A 19495-nucleotide genomic window follows, 5' to 3' on the forward strand; every position below is an offset into this window, starting at 1 on the left:
ATCAGGCTTATCCTGCTGAATATCAGCATCTCCCTCACTGTTCAAAATAACTGGGGCTCCACTGACCAAAAGACGCACAATATGATAAGTATGAAACAGTGTGGAGTCTGAAGTTAGAGGACCTGGCTTTGAGGCTTAGGCCTGCTTTAACTCCCTCAAAACGGGCTGAAATTTTCTCAGAGTGATTACTATTGTTATTGTCACTGCTATTTTAAGTGGAAATATAACTTAAAACTGAATTTCTCACACACAGACAGTTGACACAATATACTTTGCTTAAGGTCATTCAGGATCTCTTAATTATTAAATTCCATAGCTTCTTTTTCATCATCAATCTGCTTAATTTTTCTGTGGCATTTGACCTTTCTTTACTTCTTAAAACTCATCTGTAGTGTCTTTTTGATGTCCCTTCTTTCCTTCTTCTCCTCTTATATACCCACCACCTACCATCCCGTTTTGGTTTCAGGCAGCATCTTCACACTCCTGGTCCACTGGAGCCTCACTTGGTACTTCTAAGGTCTTCTCTCCTGTCATATCTCTATTGCGGTCACATTCTAGTTGATTGCTTTGTCTCCTCTCTTTCAGTAGTTTTTTGTTTGTTTGTTTGTTTTGTTTTGTTTTGTTTTGTTTTAGATTGAGTCTTGTTCTGTCACCCAGGCTGGAGTGCAGTGGCGCAATCTCAGCTCACTGCAACCTCTGCCTCCGGAGTTCAAGCGATTCTCCTACCTCAGCTTCCCCAGTAGGTATTACAGGCCTGCACCACCAAGCCTGTCTAAGTTTTGTGTTTTCGGTAGGGATGAGGTTTCTCCATGTTGGCCAGGCTGGCCTTGAACTCCTGGCCTCACGTAATTTGCCCGCCTCAGCCTCCCAAAGTGCTGGGATTACAGGCATGAGACACCATGTCCAGCCCTCTTTCAGTAGTTTTAAATGACAGCCTCAGGCCAATGAAGAAACGTACACTTTCAGCTCTAACCTTTCATTTCAGTGTTAGATCTATATGTTCAACAGACTTTTCTATATCTTTAGCTTTATATTCTCCAGGCTCCAGTAATTCAAAACTAAACAATTAAATTCACTGTCTTCACTCAATTTTTCTTTCCTACTTCCCTTCTCACACTAACAGCATAATGGCCAGCAACTGATTTTCCAAACTAGAAAAACAGTAGTCATTTGTAATTTCTCTCTCTTTTTCATTTCTTAAAAGTAGGGAGTCTTCAGGTGTTATTATTCTAATTCTTACGTAGATTAGAAATCTCCCAGTTTTGTGCAATCTAGCTTCTGTTTGGGATGCTCATTGATTCTTGTCAGATCTCCCACTGTAGCCTTCTAACTGGCTCCTTCCCGTCTTCAGGCCACAAGCCTGAAGATTAATTAGATTTGTCTTAAAGTTAATTTTGATTCAGTGTTACCCACCTCTCCCCCGGAAAATACATCAAAATATTTACAAGGTCCTCCTCACAAACCTAAAAACATGATAATTAAAGAATAGGATGCTGTGGTCAGTAAGGCTTGGGTTTGATACCTGACACAACCATTTAGCAAGGGTGTGAACTTAAGTTATTTATTTCTTTGAAGCACAGGACCTCATTTGTAAAAGGGACCATAAAGAAATTGCGAGAATTGAAGAAATGTGTGAAAAACACCTATCATAGTGTTGGAGAAAACAAGGTCCTCAACAAATAATAATTAAGATTCATTCTAATACATCCCCTCTCAATTAACACAGGCATCTAAGCATTAATAAAACCTAGATTTTCAGCATTTTTAAACATGTCTAGTCTTTTCATATCTATATGTTCATACCATTTCCCCTGCCTGGAACATCCTTCTCCGCCTTGATTATTAAATAAATTCTTTCTCATCTGTAGAGATTAGATGTCACTTTTTAATGATTTTTCTGTGACATATTTAGGCAACATTTGTTTTGTTCTTATAATTCTTTGTCACTTGGGTAGGAAGTTACTCTGCCTCATCTCCTTGGCAGCTGGATTATTTTATATATTCAGTAAATATTTTCTGAATGCAGTAAAATCTTTCCACAAATGCCTACATTATAGACTTTTATCCAAATTCAAATGTAAATTCCATTTTTTTCTTATCGTCATTTCCCCAAATCCAGCTTTTTAATCTCAATTTTTCTGATATTTCAGTAATTTCTCCCTTTTATCACATTAAAAGTTTCAGAAAAATGCTGCCACAATAGAGGTTTTTTGTTGGTTTGCCTATTGTATTACTTTTACATAGAAAATGTATATTTAAATGGCAGGAAAAAGTAGAAAATGTACCATATGTGATAGAAACAAGTAAATACTTATTATATAGGGACCAAGTTATTTAATGGAAAGAATAAAGGCTTTGAAGACAATCTGCCTAGGCCTTTTCTCTTAACAGATTTCTAATTCTTTGTACATTTATTTAAACTGATATTTCAGTAACTTGAATGGGATTTGCAGTATCTATGTTGAAGGACAAGGTGAAAATTAAATGTAAAAATAAATATGTAAAGTTACTAGTGTTGTGGCTTTTTCCGTTCCTGTAGTTCAGTGGGCAGGAAGGAGTGGCGCTAAGTGGCTTCTTCGCTCCCATAGCTCAGCGAGTGAAAGTGAGTGTTATAGCTCTTTCATTCTCACCACCAGCAATTCTGTGAGCAGGAGTATTACAGCTCTTTCACTCCCATAGTTTGGTGAGTTCTGGGTTCTTGTCCCATGACCAGGAGGAATAAGGTACATGGACACCAGAGAGTGAGTAAGGCAGAGTAGAATTTTATCAAATGACAGAAAGAAAGTTCTCAGTAATGAGAGGGAATGCAAAAGTGGGCAGTCATCTGTGAGGCTGAGTTCAGGGTTATTATGGGTTTGAATGGGGGAGTGCATGCTGATTTGTCCATGTGTGGTGATATGGTTTGGCTTTGTCCCCACTCAAATCTCATCTTGAATTGTAGTTCACATAATCCTCATATGTCATGCAAAGGACTCACTTGGAGGTAATTGAATCACGGGGGTGAGTTTTCCCATGCTGTTCTTGTGATAGTGAATAAGTCTCACGAGATCCGATGGAAGCAAAATTCCCCTGCAAACGTTCTATTGCCTGCCATCATGTAAGATGTGCCTTTGCTCCTCCTTCACCTTCCATCATAATTGTGAGGCCTCCCCAGCCATGTGCAACTGTGAGTGCATTAAGCCTCTTTTTCTTTACAAATTACCCAGTCTCGGGCATATCTTTATTAGCAGCATTAGAATAGACTAATACATGTGGTCTTGGAAAAAGCACCATTTTATTGGTTAAAAGACATCATTCAGAAGAAACCAAGTGAAGGAGAGTGGATAAGATGGGGATAGAAGTTATCGCTCCAGTCTTGGACTCTATCTGGAACTGGCAGCTCAGTTTTCAGGCTTTAAACTGTCCTTGGCTTGAAGGTCAGTGTTTACCAGGACCCATCGCTGTCTGCCTAGGAATTTGTCTGTCTCCTGTCACTATCACTAGCACAGGACTTGAAAAAGAGTATGCATTCAACAATTGCCAGATCTAATATAGATGCTCAGCTCTTTTACTGAAATACTCATATTTTCTTTAGATTTATAAGAAAATCATAAAAATTCAAATAAAAGGCTAAGAGGAGAAAAATTGCAGAAGATCCATTAGTAAATAAAAGATATACCATTCATCATCTGTAAAAACTAAAAATGTAAACTAAAGTAACTTTGAGAGAGAATTTTGTAGTCATTAAGGTAGCATTTTTTTCATTTTATTTATATGACTCACTCCAGAATGATTTTGGTGAACCTAGTATACTAATTTTTTGGCTGTAGGCATTATAAATTTATATAACCTTTCCACAAAATGCAATTTATTTATATGTAACAAGATCCATAAGGATATCTATGACCTTTAGCTTGATACATTTCTACCACTTTATTCTCATAAAATAATTTGATAGAAATAGAAAACTATAAATATTTTTATTCATTGTGGTATTTTACAGAGTTGGAGTAATTTAATTGAAGCCTCCAGAATATGCAATATTAGAATGTTAATAAGTAATATTGCCATGAATTATCATTTAAGAATATTATTTGCTCATTAAAAGTAACAAGTGAATACCATATAGTACAACATTGTTCAAATAAAATATAATTTGAGCCACATATGTAATTTATACTTTTTTGGTAGTCACATAATAAAATGGAAATAAATGAGGTAAGATTAATTTTAGTAATATATTTTATTTAAGCAATACGTTGAGAATATTATTTCAACATGTAATCAATATAAATGACACCAATGAGAGATTCTTTTATTGTTTGATTTGTACTAAGTCTGTGAAATTTTGGCATAATTTACACTTATAGCACATTTCAATTTGGTTGAGTCACTTTTCCAATCTCAATATCCACATGTAGCAAGCTGCTATCATTTTGGACAGGGCAAGACTACAGACAAACATTCATAAGAAATAGAAATATTCTTAATAACATACACATAATTATTTCAATTGTTTAAAAGAATTGTTCATATATGTTTTAGTGTCCTAGAGTGTAAAATTAATTAGGAGTGTGAGATTATGATTCTTTTTATATAAGTTTAAATATTTTCATACTTTTGTTTTTTTTCAATAAAATGTCTTACACCTTAGAATAGGTACCTAATTTGTAAATTGCAACCATTCTGTCTATATGTCTTGATAAAAAATGATGGTGAACTTCAATTTATATTATATTCACATTTTGACCCAGTTTCTATGGAATTAGTAAGTCTTTTCAATTTGGAGCTGTTTGGTATGCAAAGTAGGCTGAACGTTTTCATAGGGAGTAACAAATACGTGACCTTTCTGGATTAAGTCGGTCTGGCAGCCTAATATTTTTTACGGTTTGAATAGACTATATTTGGTTGATCCTATCAGTTAGTAAAATAAGAAAGTATATTTAAAACATTATCAAAAAATATCTAGCATTTTGCCTTGCACATAGTAGACACAAAATGCATAATTGTCGAATGTAATCGATTTGAAGCGTCCATCAATTAAATTCAAAATGGATTTGTTGAAACCATTTTCTTAGTAGAATTTACTCTTTCTTCATGTATTTCACTATGATTCCTCATAATTAAAGAAAGCAATAAACAGGGATAACAAAAGTATTAGAACTTTTGACATTTCTGGAGGTAAACAAAGATACCTTCCATATTTCCACCTAAACTTAATTTTCATTCCCACTTAACATTTCTACATGAGTGAAATATGTCAAGATTTGTGGCTTTCACATATTTATAGTTTTGCTATTTATTAATGATATTTTAAAATATTTATTTGAACAGTAATATAATTCTTCTTATATAATGATTACATTTCCATATAATTTTAATGTGTTTTCCAAACTAAATTTCCAGCTGTTTGTGGTCAGGAGTATTACTTATTATTCTTCACAACCACAAGTAACTTTGGATGATGCTATGGCTAATAAAGTCTTTGAAATGTGTTAACTTCACTTGGTTTATAAATGCTAAAGTAAATATAGGTAGAATATTTTAAAATTATAAGCACAAGCGTTAATGTTTGGTTCATAACTAAGAATGATATGACACAGTTTTTCAGTACTTTTTAATATAATTGAGCTATAAGAAATATTTAATAATAAATAATTATGCATTTCATTAAAGAAGACAAAAGTAGAAAAAATGGAAATGTGTAAATGATGCCGAGGTGTATTTGAAAATGTTGATGAAATTATAAAAGCATTTCTTTATGTCTTTTTAAAACTCTACAGGAAATTTCTGTTTTATTACAGCAGCTAATTTTCAAATGTTCCATGCTTTCATACCAAATCCAGCCAATTGTTGGTGATAGCTTATTTCCTTCCCCTTTGCCTGCTGCAATGATTCAGACCTTTTCTGTTCAGTTTTAGTTTTATTACTATTTTCCTCCACTCCCCTATTCTTCACCACCAATATGTTACATCATTGTTCAAAAGAATAGTCAAAACTGAGTTTAACTAATCTAAAGCAAATTTAGGCTGGAAGTAAGAGATAGCCACAATTTAGAAGCACTCCCTGGCTTTAGAAATACAGACCTCCTTTGTAAATCCTCACAGCTATGGGTTGTGTAGTCTATCACCACCTATAGTATGCTAAAGTCAGAATGTAATTACATGCATTTTATAAAATGAGAACTGCTGACGTACAACCCACTAGTTATTTCCTAGTAAAAACATATTAGTAGAATATATTTATATCCATAACCATAATACATACTGTTATGCATCTAGTAATTAATTTTTTAATGACTCTCTAAATATTTATGTTCTTTTTTTCTTATAATGCAATCTTCAGTGTTCTCAAGAGCTATCCTAATTTAAGCAGATATTTAAATAGAATCTTTCATTATTCTTGCTTTTCAGTTGTCTTGGGAACAATGCAATAACATTAGTAGGATATTTCCTTGTAGAAATGAAAAATGAAAATACGTTTTCTTCTAGAAATAAAAAAAGTATTTATAGATTATATCTGGAGGACAACATAAACTGGCTAATTGATTATAGATAATAAATGGACATACTAAGTGATAGAAAAATAGATGATAGATATTTCTATGCAGATGAATTTTATTATTGTAAACTTACTGGGTTTCTATACAGTTTGTTTTAATTGCTGAAACATGTCTTCAGGTGGAATTTATCAAATATTACATACATTGCAATAGTGACAGCATTTTAAAAGAAGTCTCTAGATCCTATGGAAATGAAGTGTCTGTTCCAATAGAGCTCCTAATGTAAAGTTTTGCTTAGTAATGATCTGAATGACTTTTCAAAGTTTCCCTGTCTGAATCAGTGTTAATGATTTTTCAGTTATCCTCTCAGAAAATCAACTTGTTATGCCTTAATATAATATCAAAAATTAAATTGTAGTTCTTTTGAGAAAATAAGGAGGTAGAAAATGTAACAGTTTTATTGCTTCTGAATGATACGGCTCCAGATTTTTACCTTCACAGAGTTATATTTTTTGATTGAGAATATGATTCCAGTATCTGATAATTTGGGTCTAATCTAGTAGCTTTATACTTGGATTTCCCCAGAACTGTGGTCTGTAAATTCTGAAGATACTGAAGCATCTTGAAATACGCCCATTGCTCAATACACAGAATAATTTTTAAAACTTTATAATTTGTAAATTGCTATACATTTATAATTGCTATAAATTTATAAATTATATAATTTAAAATTTATAATTTATATAATTTATAATAAATCACAGAAATATATTTTAATATATTTATATATTATATGTAATATTTATATTATATAAAATATAACATATTTATAATATATTTATATATTATGTTTTAAATTATATATAAATATATCAAATGTGAGTTAATATAATATGACTTATAAATTATACAAATATAAATTATATACCAATATCATTTATATATAATTTATATTAAATTACATAATTTTAATTATATAAATTATATTTATATAATTTGTAATCTATAATTTATAAATTTATAAGCTTAAAATTTATAAACTTAACATTTTCAAAATGTACGTATTTCCCAGGGCTTGATCATGAGTTTTCTTTTTCTTTCTGTCAACTGTATCTCTCTAAGTGACCTATCCAGTCCCATAACTTGTACTATCATCTCTAGTGAACACTCTCCAGGCTTTATGTCTCTTCTTAGCGTCACATTTATTTAACTAGGTGTTTATTTCATTTCTCCTGTTGGGTCTCAAAGCATAATTATCTTCTCATCCTTGTATTATTACCCATCCTCCTCCTCCTCCAGTCTTTCTCATATTAATTAGCAGTGTCACATTCACTCTGTTGTTTAATCTCACCTAGGAATTATCATTTATTCTCTTCCTCGCGGCACCCACATTCTATCCATCAGCAAATACTGTTATTTCTTTTCAAAATACTTCTTATTTGCTTTGCTACTACTCATGCCCAAGAAATCTTCCCTCATCTGGGAAAATTCAATAGTCTATTTAATGGTTTGTCTGTTTCTACTTTATTCCCCCTAATTAGACATTCTTCACACAGCTGCCAATGTGATCTTTTAAAATTCATGTCATTCCTCTGCTCAAAACCCTCCAATGGCTTCTCATTGCACTTCGAATAAAATCAAAGCTCCACACCAGTCTACCCATGATGTAGTCACTGCCTCACTCTCCACTGCCTATCTCTTTTTCCTCACTGATTTTATTCTAACCACACTTGATGCTCTACATTCCTGGAAAACACTAAACTTATTTCCATCCTTAGAATTTTGAGCCTGCTTTCTTCTTTTCTTGGCACTCTCTGCACTCTGATCTTCACATGGCTGGCTTTCTTTTTTCACTGAGGTCTCAGCCCAAGTGACATCTCAGAGAGAATTACCCTGAGATCTAAATAATTACCTCAGTTCTCTCTATTTTATCTACTGTATTATATGGTGTTTGGGGCATAGTACTCATCTCTACTTGAATTTATTTTACTTGTATATTATTTTTATTTCCTCTAGCTATATACTGTATTAAGAGCAGTGACTTTTTCTACTCTTTTTATCACTCTATTCCCACTCCCTGGAAGAATAATAGGAACATAGTAGGTATTTCTTTTGGAATGGGAGGATAACGAGACAGAGAGACAAAGAGAGAGAGAGAAAGAGAGATTATGTACAATATAATATTGAAGCGATTTACATGTAATCCACATTCCTCCTAAACTGGGTTTGGATAAATGCTAATCTATAGGATTCTTGGACAAGAAAAGATTATTTGGCAAACGAGTTTGGAAGATTATATTAGAGATTTATTAAGTTCATTAGCCTGAAAAATATTCTTTAAGGTTTTGCAGTAAAGATCACAATTTAATGATATTTAATCAAATGATTCATAAAGTTATTTGGTCCTTGAAAATTTTTCTGCCTTTCAACGTATATTAAAACATTCAGAAATGCTGTTCTAAATTCACTCAGTATCCAAAGTAGAAGAGAATTAATGTAACAAGAGGAAAACATATATCATAATTTTCTTTTAGAGTTGTTTAAAATAAAGCCCACCCAAAATAAGACACATATATATGTTTTTGAGAATTCTGGGTAAATTAGAAATAACTATATTGACACAAAGTTAAGCTAAAGAGAAAATTTGGTATACGGCAGATAAGTAACCAAGGCCAACAATCCATAAAACAATAATAGCAAAAAGAAAAAAGACAAAATTGATACTTTCGAGTAGCTCCTGATGGAGAAGAGTAATATTGAGGAAATATTAATAGAAAATAATACAGTCAGAAAAAGTGATAATAATTATAAAACTCATTTGTTAGAAAGTCTATAAAAGACTGGGGATAACATCAACATGAATATTCTGGTTATAGTATAGGAAAGTGACATAAAATCAGAAGTTTCAAGTTAAATTAAGGGAGAGATGAGGGAGATTAAATGCAGAGTAATAAATCCATGAAATTTATATTTAACACAATGTGAAGGAATAGACTTTAAAAGCTGCTTTTTAAAAAACCTAATTTTCAGATACATAAAATTTTAGCAATATGGCTGTAGTGCTTTGAACTTTTATCATTTGACTATACTTTGCTTTAAAGTTTACATCAAGAGCAAATATGTATATTTGAAAAGTTTACAATAGCTAGAAAATGTATTATAATTCCCAAATGGAAAAAAATGTATACTTGGATTCCCACATTTCTATATACCTATCCACAGGATCACTGTTGTATTTTTAAACCTTATTCCTGGAAGCACTACGGATATCAGATCAATTTAGAAAGCCAAAGAGTACCTCTGGGAATGAAATGGTAGTAATAGAAACAATATTTGGCCAAACTATCGCTGTATGCCAATGATGCCAAAAATCACAGTAACCTGGCAGGTAGGTAATTATTATTTAATAATACAATTGATACTGGTTTCTCCACTGAAAAACTATTAACTCTTTATGCAGTAAAATGAAGTCCAGGTTTTAGACACAGTATTTCTATTTTGATGTCATTAATAGTGGGTTGACACTTGTACCAACCACAATGTGTTTCTCAAGCAAATTATTTGAAAGAAAACTTATATGTGATTTTATAACTCATTTAGAAATGAAAATGGGGAATATGAATTTAAGGAATAGTTTTGGCTGCAAGTTCTTAATATTAAGGACAATTTTCATATTCTGGACTATTTTATATATCTCTTTCTTTCTAGTAGAAGCAGACTGGCCTGATTTTAGCGTTTACTGGAGAACATTTCCATTTTAAATGTTCATTCTGCAAGACAACTAATAAGATAATTACTGTTTTAAATAATTTCCTCCATATGTTCACAATTCCTGGATCTCTGCTCTCTCTGTTTAAATGCTGGTCTCATGGTTAATGTTGCTGTTCAAAAAAAAACTTTGCTTTCATATTTCTTAGAATCTCAAATTGTTCAAATTTGCCGAAGTGCCTGGAAATGCAGCATGTGTTTCTAAATCTGGAAGAGTTGGTAATACGTATAATCTCCTTCTCTGGATGTATATTGTCCTCTTAATTAATAGTGCTCAATAGACTACGTTATATTTTAGAGTGAGAAAATCTGCTATTTGAAGGTGCTGGAATTTTTTTCTTTTCTTTTCTTTTCTTATTTATTTATTTATTTATTTTGAGATGAAGTCTCACTCTGTTGCCCAGGTTGGAGTGCAGTGGTATGATCTCAGCTCACTGCAACCTCCTCCTCCCAGGTTAAGTGATTCTCCTGCCTCAGCCTCCCAAGTAGCTGGGATTACAGGCTCACACCACCACGCCTGGCTAATTCTTGTATTTTTAGTAGAGACAGGGTTGGCCAGGCTGGTATCAAACTCAGCCTGACCTCAGGTAATCCACCCACCTCAGCCTCCTAAAGTGCTGGGATTACAGGCATGAGCTACCGCACCTGGCCAAAATTTTTCTATTTTATCATTAAAAAACGAGTTTGTATGCAAGATATTACTTGAAAATCATAAACAAATTATCCTGAAAAAGGTACCTTATCAGTCTACTAAATTCAGTTTTGTAAGGTTCAATGTAATCAAATAGACTCATGAATTATATTCATACATAATGAAAACAACATTAAATTTGACTTGTTTGTGTCCATCTTCATCCATGTAGAATGCATGTGGTCAAGTCACTGCTCTTAAATTTAGTTCTTTGATCAATAATGTGAGCCTAATAACACGTATCTATGAAATCATATTGTTTATCAAAAAACAATTACTTCTGTCACCATCATTGTCATTTTCACCAATATCAATTTTCATTTTTATGATCATCAAATTTAATGCAGCCATGGATGAGTCCAAAACTCCCACACTCACAGACATACAGACACAATTGAACCTACTATTTATGAGATTAGAAGGTAGAATTAAGAATTAATATGCTACCAATTAGCAAATATAATTAAGACTGTTTTAAATCTATACTTGTACCTGCCATAATTGTAAAATAGTTTTCTTGGACAAACAGAAGAAGATACAGAAAGTATAGGTTTGGAAAATGTACATGTTTAATTCAAGAAAAATAATTTGTTATGTAATTTATTGGATGCTTACAGTCTATTTCATGGACAATTGGAAATGAGAGAAAAGGTTTTTGGCAATTACAAGTAAATTCATGCTTTATATTAAAATTTAATCCCCCAAATTAGGTTTTAGGTAATATAGTTATATCAGTTATAGAAACTGACAAAAAAATTAAATTTGCTAGTTATTATAACAACACTAATACAAAGTAAATTGCAATTTAAATATACAAAATATTTTTGATATACAGTAAAGTTTATGCCATTTGTGATGACAATCCAATATAAAACTAGATTATTAAATAATCCGGAGATTTTCTAACTAAATACACCAGATGCAGGTGTTCTTGTCAGATTCAATGATCAACATTGTTGAGGGCAAACTTCCAAATCTAGGAGGCAGAACAAAAGAAAAAAAAAAACACATCTGGCAAAAAAAAAAAAAAAGTGTGTGAATTCTTTATCATTATCAGTTCAGTTTTTTGCATTTTTTAATTTTATGTAAATTTTGCATTGGTTTTGTGTGTGTTTATACATCCACAAGAAACACATAACATGCTGAAATACAGATAAATTTGAACAGTCAGTGTATATGTCATTCATTCTTCCTTCCAACTACTGAGGAAACAAAGACTTTTTTTTCTGAGTGTCTATTTGGAATAGGCATTTGTCCATTTTCAGTGGATAAAACTAAAAGTCAGCATTCAATGTCTCAAAGTCCAGAAGGCAAGGCAGACTTAAAATAATACTTAAAATCTAGTGTAATAAGAGTGACTACTACTACTACACACACATATAATTACACATACATACACTATATATAGTGTGGGACAAAGAGAATTATAATTTCAGCTTTGCAATATGGACAAGGAAGTCTTCACAGAGAAAACAATATCACTTGAACTAACTAATATCACTTGAAATCTAACAGGAGAATTTCCAAGTACTTTAGGCAAGTGTTTACTCTGGGGAGGAGAAAAATCATGTGCAAAGGCAAAGAGGAGGAACATATGACCAGAGATGAATGAAGAAGAACAAGATAAATGGTTGAAGACAAAAGCAAAAGCAAAGATTAAATCATAAAATATTTTACAATTTTATGTAATGTGTTTGATATTTAGACTATGGTTATAAAACACCCCTGATTGAGGAAATCGATACCTTTGGATAACAAAATCTGATTTTCCTTTTTGAAAATGTGTATGATAGCAGTAGGACTAATGAATTGAGTGTTCGTAGAGAAGAGACAGGGATTGAACTAGGAGGTTACCACAGATTTTTACAAGATATGATGAAGGCCTACACTAAACCAGTGAAGAAAAGATGAAGAACAAACTATTTTGAAAAAATTGGTGGGCTATAGTCAGCAACTGTATGTGAAGTCAGGACAGGTAAGAAGGAAGATCCCCAGATGGTCCTATGAGTTCAGGTTTGGATAGGAAGATAGTATCATTTTTTAGTCCAAATCAGAAAACTTATAAAGGTGAAAGTAGATTATAAAATAATCAAACTTTGTAATGTTGACATTTATCTATTAATGATTTTGTTGATTTTTATGCTGTTGAACATATAAAAAATCTTTTATTCAAAAACTATTTTTTAAAATTTTGTACAAATAAAATTATGTATACTAATAAAAACGTATACCTGTGTATATCAAAGCAAAGCAAAATGTTAAAAATTACTTTAAAATTTAGGTGGAAAGATTATATTTGACTCATATTCACATGCTTTTGGCAATTTCTTAGCCATATCTGTCTCTAAAATCAAGTCACTAAAGAATGTATGTTCAGATGCTCCTCGTAATTTCCTACATAGTTGCACTTTAAGGCTAATAAATTTGAAATGGTTTATTGATGCTATTGTTTCTATTGTTACGGTTCTGCAGGCCAAAAATATATATTTTTAATTGAGAAAATTCTTCTATATTTTTCCTAAGGTTTCAGTAAGCTCAGGGTTAATTCTACCAAATTAATTATATTCTTCATTCTATCTTTTTATTGAAACATTTAAAAATTTCAGTCTACATATTTTAACTGGCACTGCCATTTTGCTTTTATTCAGAATAACTTTCTTCAATAAATATTTTTATGTAACAACACCCATCAAATAAGGTGATCCTATGGTTCTTTTATAAGTCTTGCCAAATTTAGATGCTACAAAAAGCAAAGGGCTCAATTTCATTCCATTTGGGTAAATAATATTAATTTATTCAATTTCTTAAAAAAGCACCTTCAGAACTTTCTCTCAGAAGAGAGGTTGTTCTGTAGATCAAGTGTAGATTTTGAAAAGTAAATTATGGGCCAGCACAGTGTCTCACACTTGTAATCCCAATGCTTTGGGAGGCTGAGTAGGGAGGACTGCTTGAAGCCAGGAGTTCCTGACTAGCGGGGCAACATAGTGAGACCCTGTCTCTCCAACAACAACAAACAACCACAAATTAGCTGGGCATGGCGGCACATGCCTATGAATCCTTGCTACTACAGAGGCTGAGTGGGGAGGGTGGGAGAATCACCTGAGCTTAGGAGTTTGAGGTTACAGTGAGATATGATTGTACCCCTACACTGTAGCCTGGGTGACAGAGCAAGACCCTGGCTCTAAAAAATAAATGAGTAAATAAATATGTAAATAAATTGTGTACACTGAACTCTCATCATCAAATTTTCTAATTTTGTTTGTTTGTTTCTGTGGACGTTTTAGTCAATTCTGCAGATGTCTGCTATCACAAAAAATGGACAGTGGGTTAAAAACAATAGAAATGTATAAATGCATTTTTCACAGTTCTGGAGGCTGGGAGTTTGAGATCAGAGTGCCAGCATATTTGGGCTCTGATGAGGTTACAGACTGTCAACTCATTGAATCCTCACGTGACAAAGAATGCTAGAGAGCTCTCTGAAGTTTATTTTATAAGAACACTAACTCTATTCATGAGGACTTCACCCTCATGACCTAAACACTTCCCAAAGGCCTATATCTTTTAATAGCATTGCATTGGGGGTTAGGTTTTCAACCTATAAATTCTGGGGGAATGTAAGCATTCAGTTCATAACAATAGAGAAAAGTGCTATTCTTTTTTTTTTTTTCCATTTAACTTCCTCAGAATTTATTCTGTGTATTCCATACCTTTCCAATTAATATAAAACATGAATGCCATTTTTTTAACCTTTATTTTAAGTTCAGGGGTAGATGGACAGGTTTGTTACATAGGTAAGATTGTGTCGTGGAGGATTGTTGTAAACAGATTATTTGATTACCCATGTATTAAGGATAGTACCCATTAGTAATTTTTCCTTATCCTCTCCTTCCTTTCTCTCTCTACCCTCAAAATGCAAATCAAAGCAACAATGAGATACCATCTCACACCAGTCAGAATGGCTATTATTAAAAAGTCAAAAAGTTGCAAATGCTGGTGAGGTTGTGAAAAAAAAGGAACTCTTTTACACAGTTGGTGGCAGTGTACATTAGTTCAACCATTGTGGCAGACAGTGTAGCAATTCCTCAAAGACCTAAAAACAGAAATACCATTTGACCCAACAATCCCACTACTGAGTATATACTCATAGAAATATAAATTACTCTTTTATAAAGACACATGCATGTGTATATTCATTGCAGCACTATTCGCAATAACAAAGACATGGAATAAACCAAAATACCCATCAATGACAGACTGGATATAGAAAATGTGTTACACATACACCATGGAATACTATTCTATTTCCAATTTTTAATTTCAATAATTTCAATTTTCTGTGTCAATGTTGATATTTTGGGTAATTTTATTAGATTTTCAACATAAAAAAAGTTTTTTAAATGTAACTGGATAAAAAATAGGTATGCGAGGCCCAGAAAAATAAATAAATAAATAAATAACAAATTTAGAAAAACCATTCACAACACAATTCAATACCATGGTAGGACACTTAGATTGGCTTACAAGATTGTTTAGTAAAGGTTAAACTATTTCCATAATTTAATTGATGATAAGCAGCAAAGAGAGAAAGTGTGAAGCTTCATTTTAATGTGTATGTGTGTTTGTGTGTCTATATAGAAGCTGTGGTATATAGCTTGGTATATTAGGCTGGTAAAATCTTACAACTTGTTGGGATTTAATAGAACCAATTCCAAATATATTTATATTTCATGTATTTCTTAATTCTCTATCATGAATTTTGATCCACAAACATTTATATTTTTATTTCCCTAAAACATATCATTTTAGTCTTCAAGGTTGAAATTCCAACTATTCAGAATAATATTCAATAATTCTCTGATGTTTTACCATTGAAAAATTAACTTCTAAAAGTTTTAGTGTCCATGAGTTACATGAAAATATAACTACTATTGTGCTAATAAAACTTTTTATTTGAAATAACTGTTGAGACTAATTTGAACCACACGTCATTTAACTGTTTGCAAAGTTTTTTCAGAAATAGCCCTACTCCATAAACAGTTGTCCCTATACTGTTTTCATGCATGCAAGAAAACTTGAGATTGAAAAAGAAGAACAATAATTTTGAGTAGTCATTTAATCTAAATGAAAAGTCACATTCCATTGAAACCTGTTTTCCATGACTATATGAATTAAACCAAAATCTACTAATACTGACATGGTTTCCTTTTTAAAAGTACTAATTGTTAAACTCATGCTGATATTTTTTTCTGAAGATTTATGACCTAGCTTTTGTGGGGTTTTTAATATTTCTATGGCCCCACATATGTTAGATGAGAAATATCAACAGATATTTTGTGCAAGTTATATGTTCATTATCAATTGTTATTACTGAATTTTTTATTAAACACCTATTCTTCAGAATTAAATGTTTTTGGTTCATTGCTGCTAAAAAGAGTTTATTGCAAAATGAATGTGCAATCAATGAAACAATTAGTTGTCAATATTCAGCATAAAATACATAATATCATCTTCAGCCTCTATTTTTTACACATATTTCATGTACATATACTTTCCTACATTCTATATAGCCCTTACTTAAGTGGAGGCTTAGCAATTTGAAACTCACAGGCTATGGGACAAGACAGACACACGTGGCTGGGACATGTTATTTTTTGTCTTTTTAATAACGACTATTCCAACTGGTGTAAGTTGATTTCTCAACATGATTTTAATTTGCCTTTATCTGTTGATTAGCAATGTTGAGCATTTATTTTTACGACTGTGGAACATATAGGTGGCAATGCACAGGAGATATTTGAAAACACTAATTTGCAGTGCAGGGGAGTGCTGAAATATAGAAATATAAATTTTAAATTTTTCAGCATATGGGCAGTCAATGCAACCACTTGAGATGAAAGATCTGGTAAGGCATTTTTAGCATCAATATTTGTTGAACACATTATTGGCAATTTCTAGAGATAGGATGAATGGCATTTGTTTACACATTGATGACAAACGAGAAAATATAATGTCATTACTATAAATGACTTGTGTATCAGTTTCCTGTTGCTGCTGTAACAAATTATCACAAACTTTGTGGTTTAAAACAACAGAAATATATTCTCTCATGGTTTTGGATGCTCAAAATATGTCCAAAGTATGTACTACTGGGTTTAAATCAAGATGGCTATATTCTCTCTGGAGGCTCAAGGGGAGATTTTGTTCCTTGCCTCTCTCAACTTCTAATGGCTGCAGACATTTCTTGGCTCAAATCTGTGTCACTCTAGTCATGGCTTTGGTCATCACATTACCTTCTTATTTTCTTCCTCTGCTGTAAAATATCCCTCTACTTCCCTTTTATAAGGACGCATGTGATTCCATTTAGAGCCCACTTTGTTAATCCCTGATAATGTCTCCACCTCAAGATCTTTAATGTAATCACATCTACATAATCTTTTGTTGTCAGATAAAATAACATTCACAGGTTCCAGAAATTAGGGTATGGATATCTTTTTTGGGGGTTTGGGGAGGAGGCTGGTTATTATCAGCCTACTATGATTTTATGTTTCTAATCAACATGAAGACAGGAATTTTTTATTCTATCTATATCATCGCTCCTGAAATTTAGGTATTCAGAGAAATATAAATGTGCTATTTTTTTTTAAGAGTTGGGATCTCACTATGTTGCCCAGATTAGAGTGCAGTGGCTTTTCACAGGTGTGATCATAGTGCACTACCGCCTCAAACTGGCAAGTCATCATCCTTCCTTAGCCTCCTGTAGCTGGGATTTCAGGCATGCACCACTGTGCCTGGCTAAATACTCTATTTTGTAATGTATAAAACTGTGCTATTCATTAGAGTAGCCACTAACCACCTGAAGCAACTGAGCAATTAAAATATAGCTAGTCAGAAATGAGATATACTATAAGTGTAAAATATACATCATATTTGGAAGACTTGGTACAAGAAATATAATGTAAAATATCTCAACTTTTTGATTAATTAAATGACTTTTTTTATATATTGTACTAAAATATATTAGTGAAGTTAATTTTACTTTTTTCAATATGGCTACTAAAAAATTTAAAATTACATATGAAATTCACATTATATTTCAACTACACAGCACTAGTCTAGAATGTGCATGTTTAAATCTTTTCATTATATAGAGAAATGGTTTCTTTATAAATAATTAAAATTCCCGAAAGTTGCACACCAAGTTAGTTAAATGCTCGTCTTTAAAAATTCTATGGCTGTATCTTGCTCTATTGTAATCCATATTCATTCAAACTATGAACTTCTGTTTTCTCCATTTTACAGCAACAAACCGGCAGGACTTCCTGTGAAATCATGACCACCATGTGCTCTTTCAGCCTCTATCAGTTCCTACCTCTAAGCACCTGAGAGCCAAAGCAAACCACAGGAAACCACAGGTACTAACTCTTTTAGACCTGATGAAGTGTCTCCCAAATACAGTCTGGCATGGTGAGTACTGGAGTAACTGGCAATCTTTTAGAATGGAGAGAAAATAAGAAATTGGGAAAAATTTGGCATTTGCTTTCAATAGAGATCAGATTCTGACCTCTGGAAAGAAGAAATAAGGGAAAATGTTTATGATGGGGAAGGATCAAAGGGGAACTTGTGGGAAAGGAAGAGGCTGCCAGAAAAGGAGTTTTGAGATCTGAAAAGAGACTTGTGTATGTCTGAGGGAAGAGTTGGAGAGAGGTAACCAGGGGAGAAAATCTGGGAAGTTTTGAGCAGTGAAGATCTGATGAGATGGAAAAGGAGAAAGGACACTAATATTTATTAGGCCTCTATTGTATACCTGCACATAGGTTATTCAAATACATGTACAGTATTCATTTTTGGAGGCAAAAATTGAGGTACAGAAAAATAAAATTATTTCGCTAAGGTCACACAACTATTAGGGATCAAAGGCAAGTTTAGGATCCATTGATCAGTGGGTGGATATCCTTTTAGAGTGTTAAAGCTAGATTAAAGTGTGAATCTGCAAGGGTAAAAAATGGGCAAATGACTTTGAGTAATTTGAGAAAAGTTGAGTCATTTCAATGATAGTCTGTGTGTAATCCGGGTTGGGAAAGTGAAAGCAGGGGGAAGCAGGGCAGGGAAGTGTTTGTACTTGGAACTGTCCGTAACAACTGTGGGAATACTAACACACTGAAAGCCCCCAGAAGAAATGGGATATTGGTTAGCCTCGTAACTAGGCAAAGTTTTGAACTTGACCAGTTCCTTGACATCCCACTGTAGTTCTATAGGTCAAAGCATAGACCTTTGGAGTTTTATATACTTGCCCATAAAAAATATCAGCATATTTGAACTTCAAACTCTCACAGATCTGATGGAAATATACGCAATAGAGATCAGTTCAAGTTTTAGTAAGTTCATCTCTAAAACTGAAGGTAACATGAATCACCTTGCCTTCAGAATTTCTAGCTCTGTAATTTGCAATTTATACTATTCCTTTTAGAAATTATTTCATTCTCATTTCTCCTAGAACCTTCAAGGGTTCAAACATCTATTCTTCAAATATTCACATTTTCTTCATTTCAGTAGGC

At 32.6% G+C, this 19495-nt stretch overlaps 1 long non-coding RNA gene across 5 annotated transcripts in view; it reads left to right on the forward strand.

Annotated features, from left to right (window-relative positions):
* The window catches only part of LINC01322 (long intergenic non-protein coding RNA 1322), a 332490-nt gene that overhangs the window by 157608 nt on the left and 155387 nt on the right, over positions 1-19495 (forward strand). For 2 of the 5 annotated variants that reach the window (NR_174101.1, NR_174098.1), the window contains exon 3: positions 18240-18404. This is a non-coding gene — a long non-coding RNA (long intergenic non-protein coding RNA 1322). Of the gene's footprint in view, positions 1-9703; positions 9870-18239; positions 18405-19495 lie in introns of all 5 variants that reach the window. The other 3 variants (NR_174100.1, NR_174099.1, NR_125764.2) reach the window with 2 other exon arrangements.

This window comes from Homo sapiens, chromosome 3, assembly GCF_000001405.40.
Source record: "Homo sapiens chromosome 3, GRCh38.p14 Primary Assembly".
NCBI classification, from domain to species: domain Eukaryota; kingdom Metazoa; phylum Chordata; class Mammalia; order Primates; family Hominidae; genus Homo; species Homo sapiens.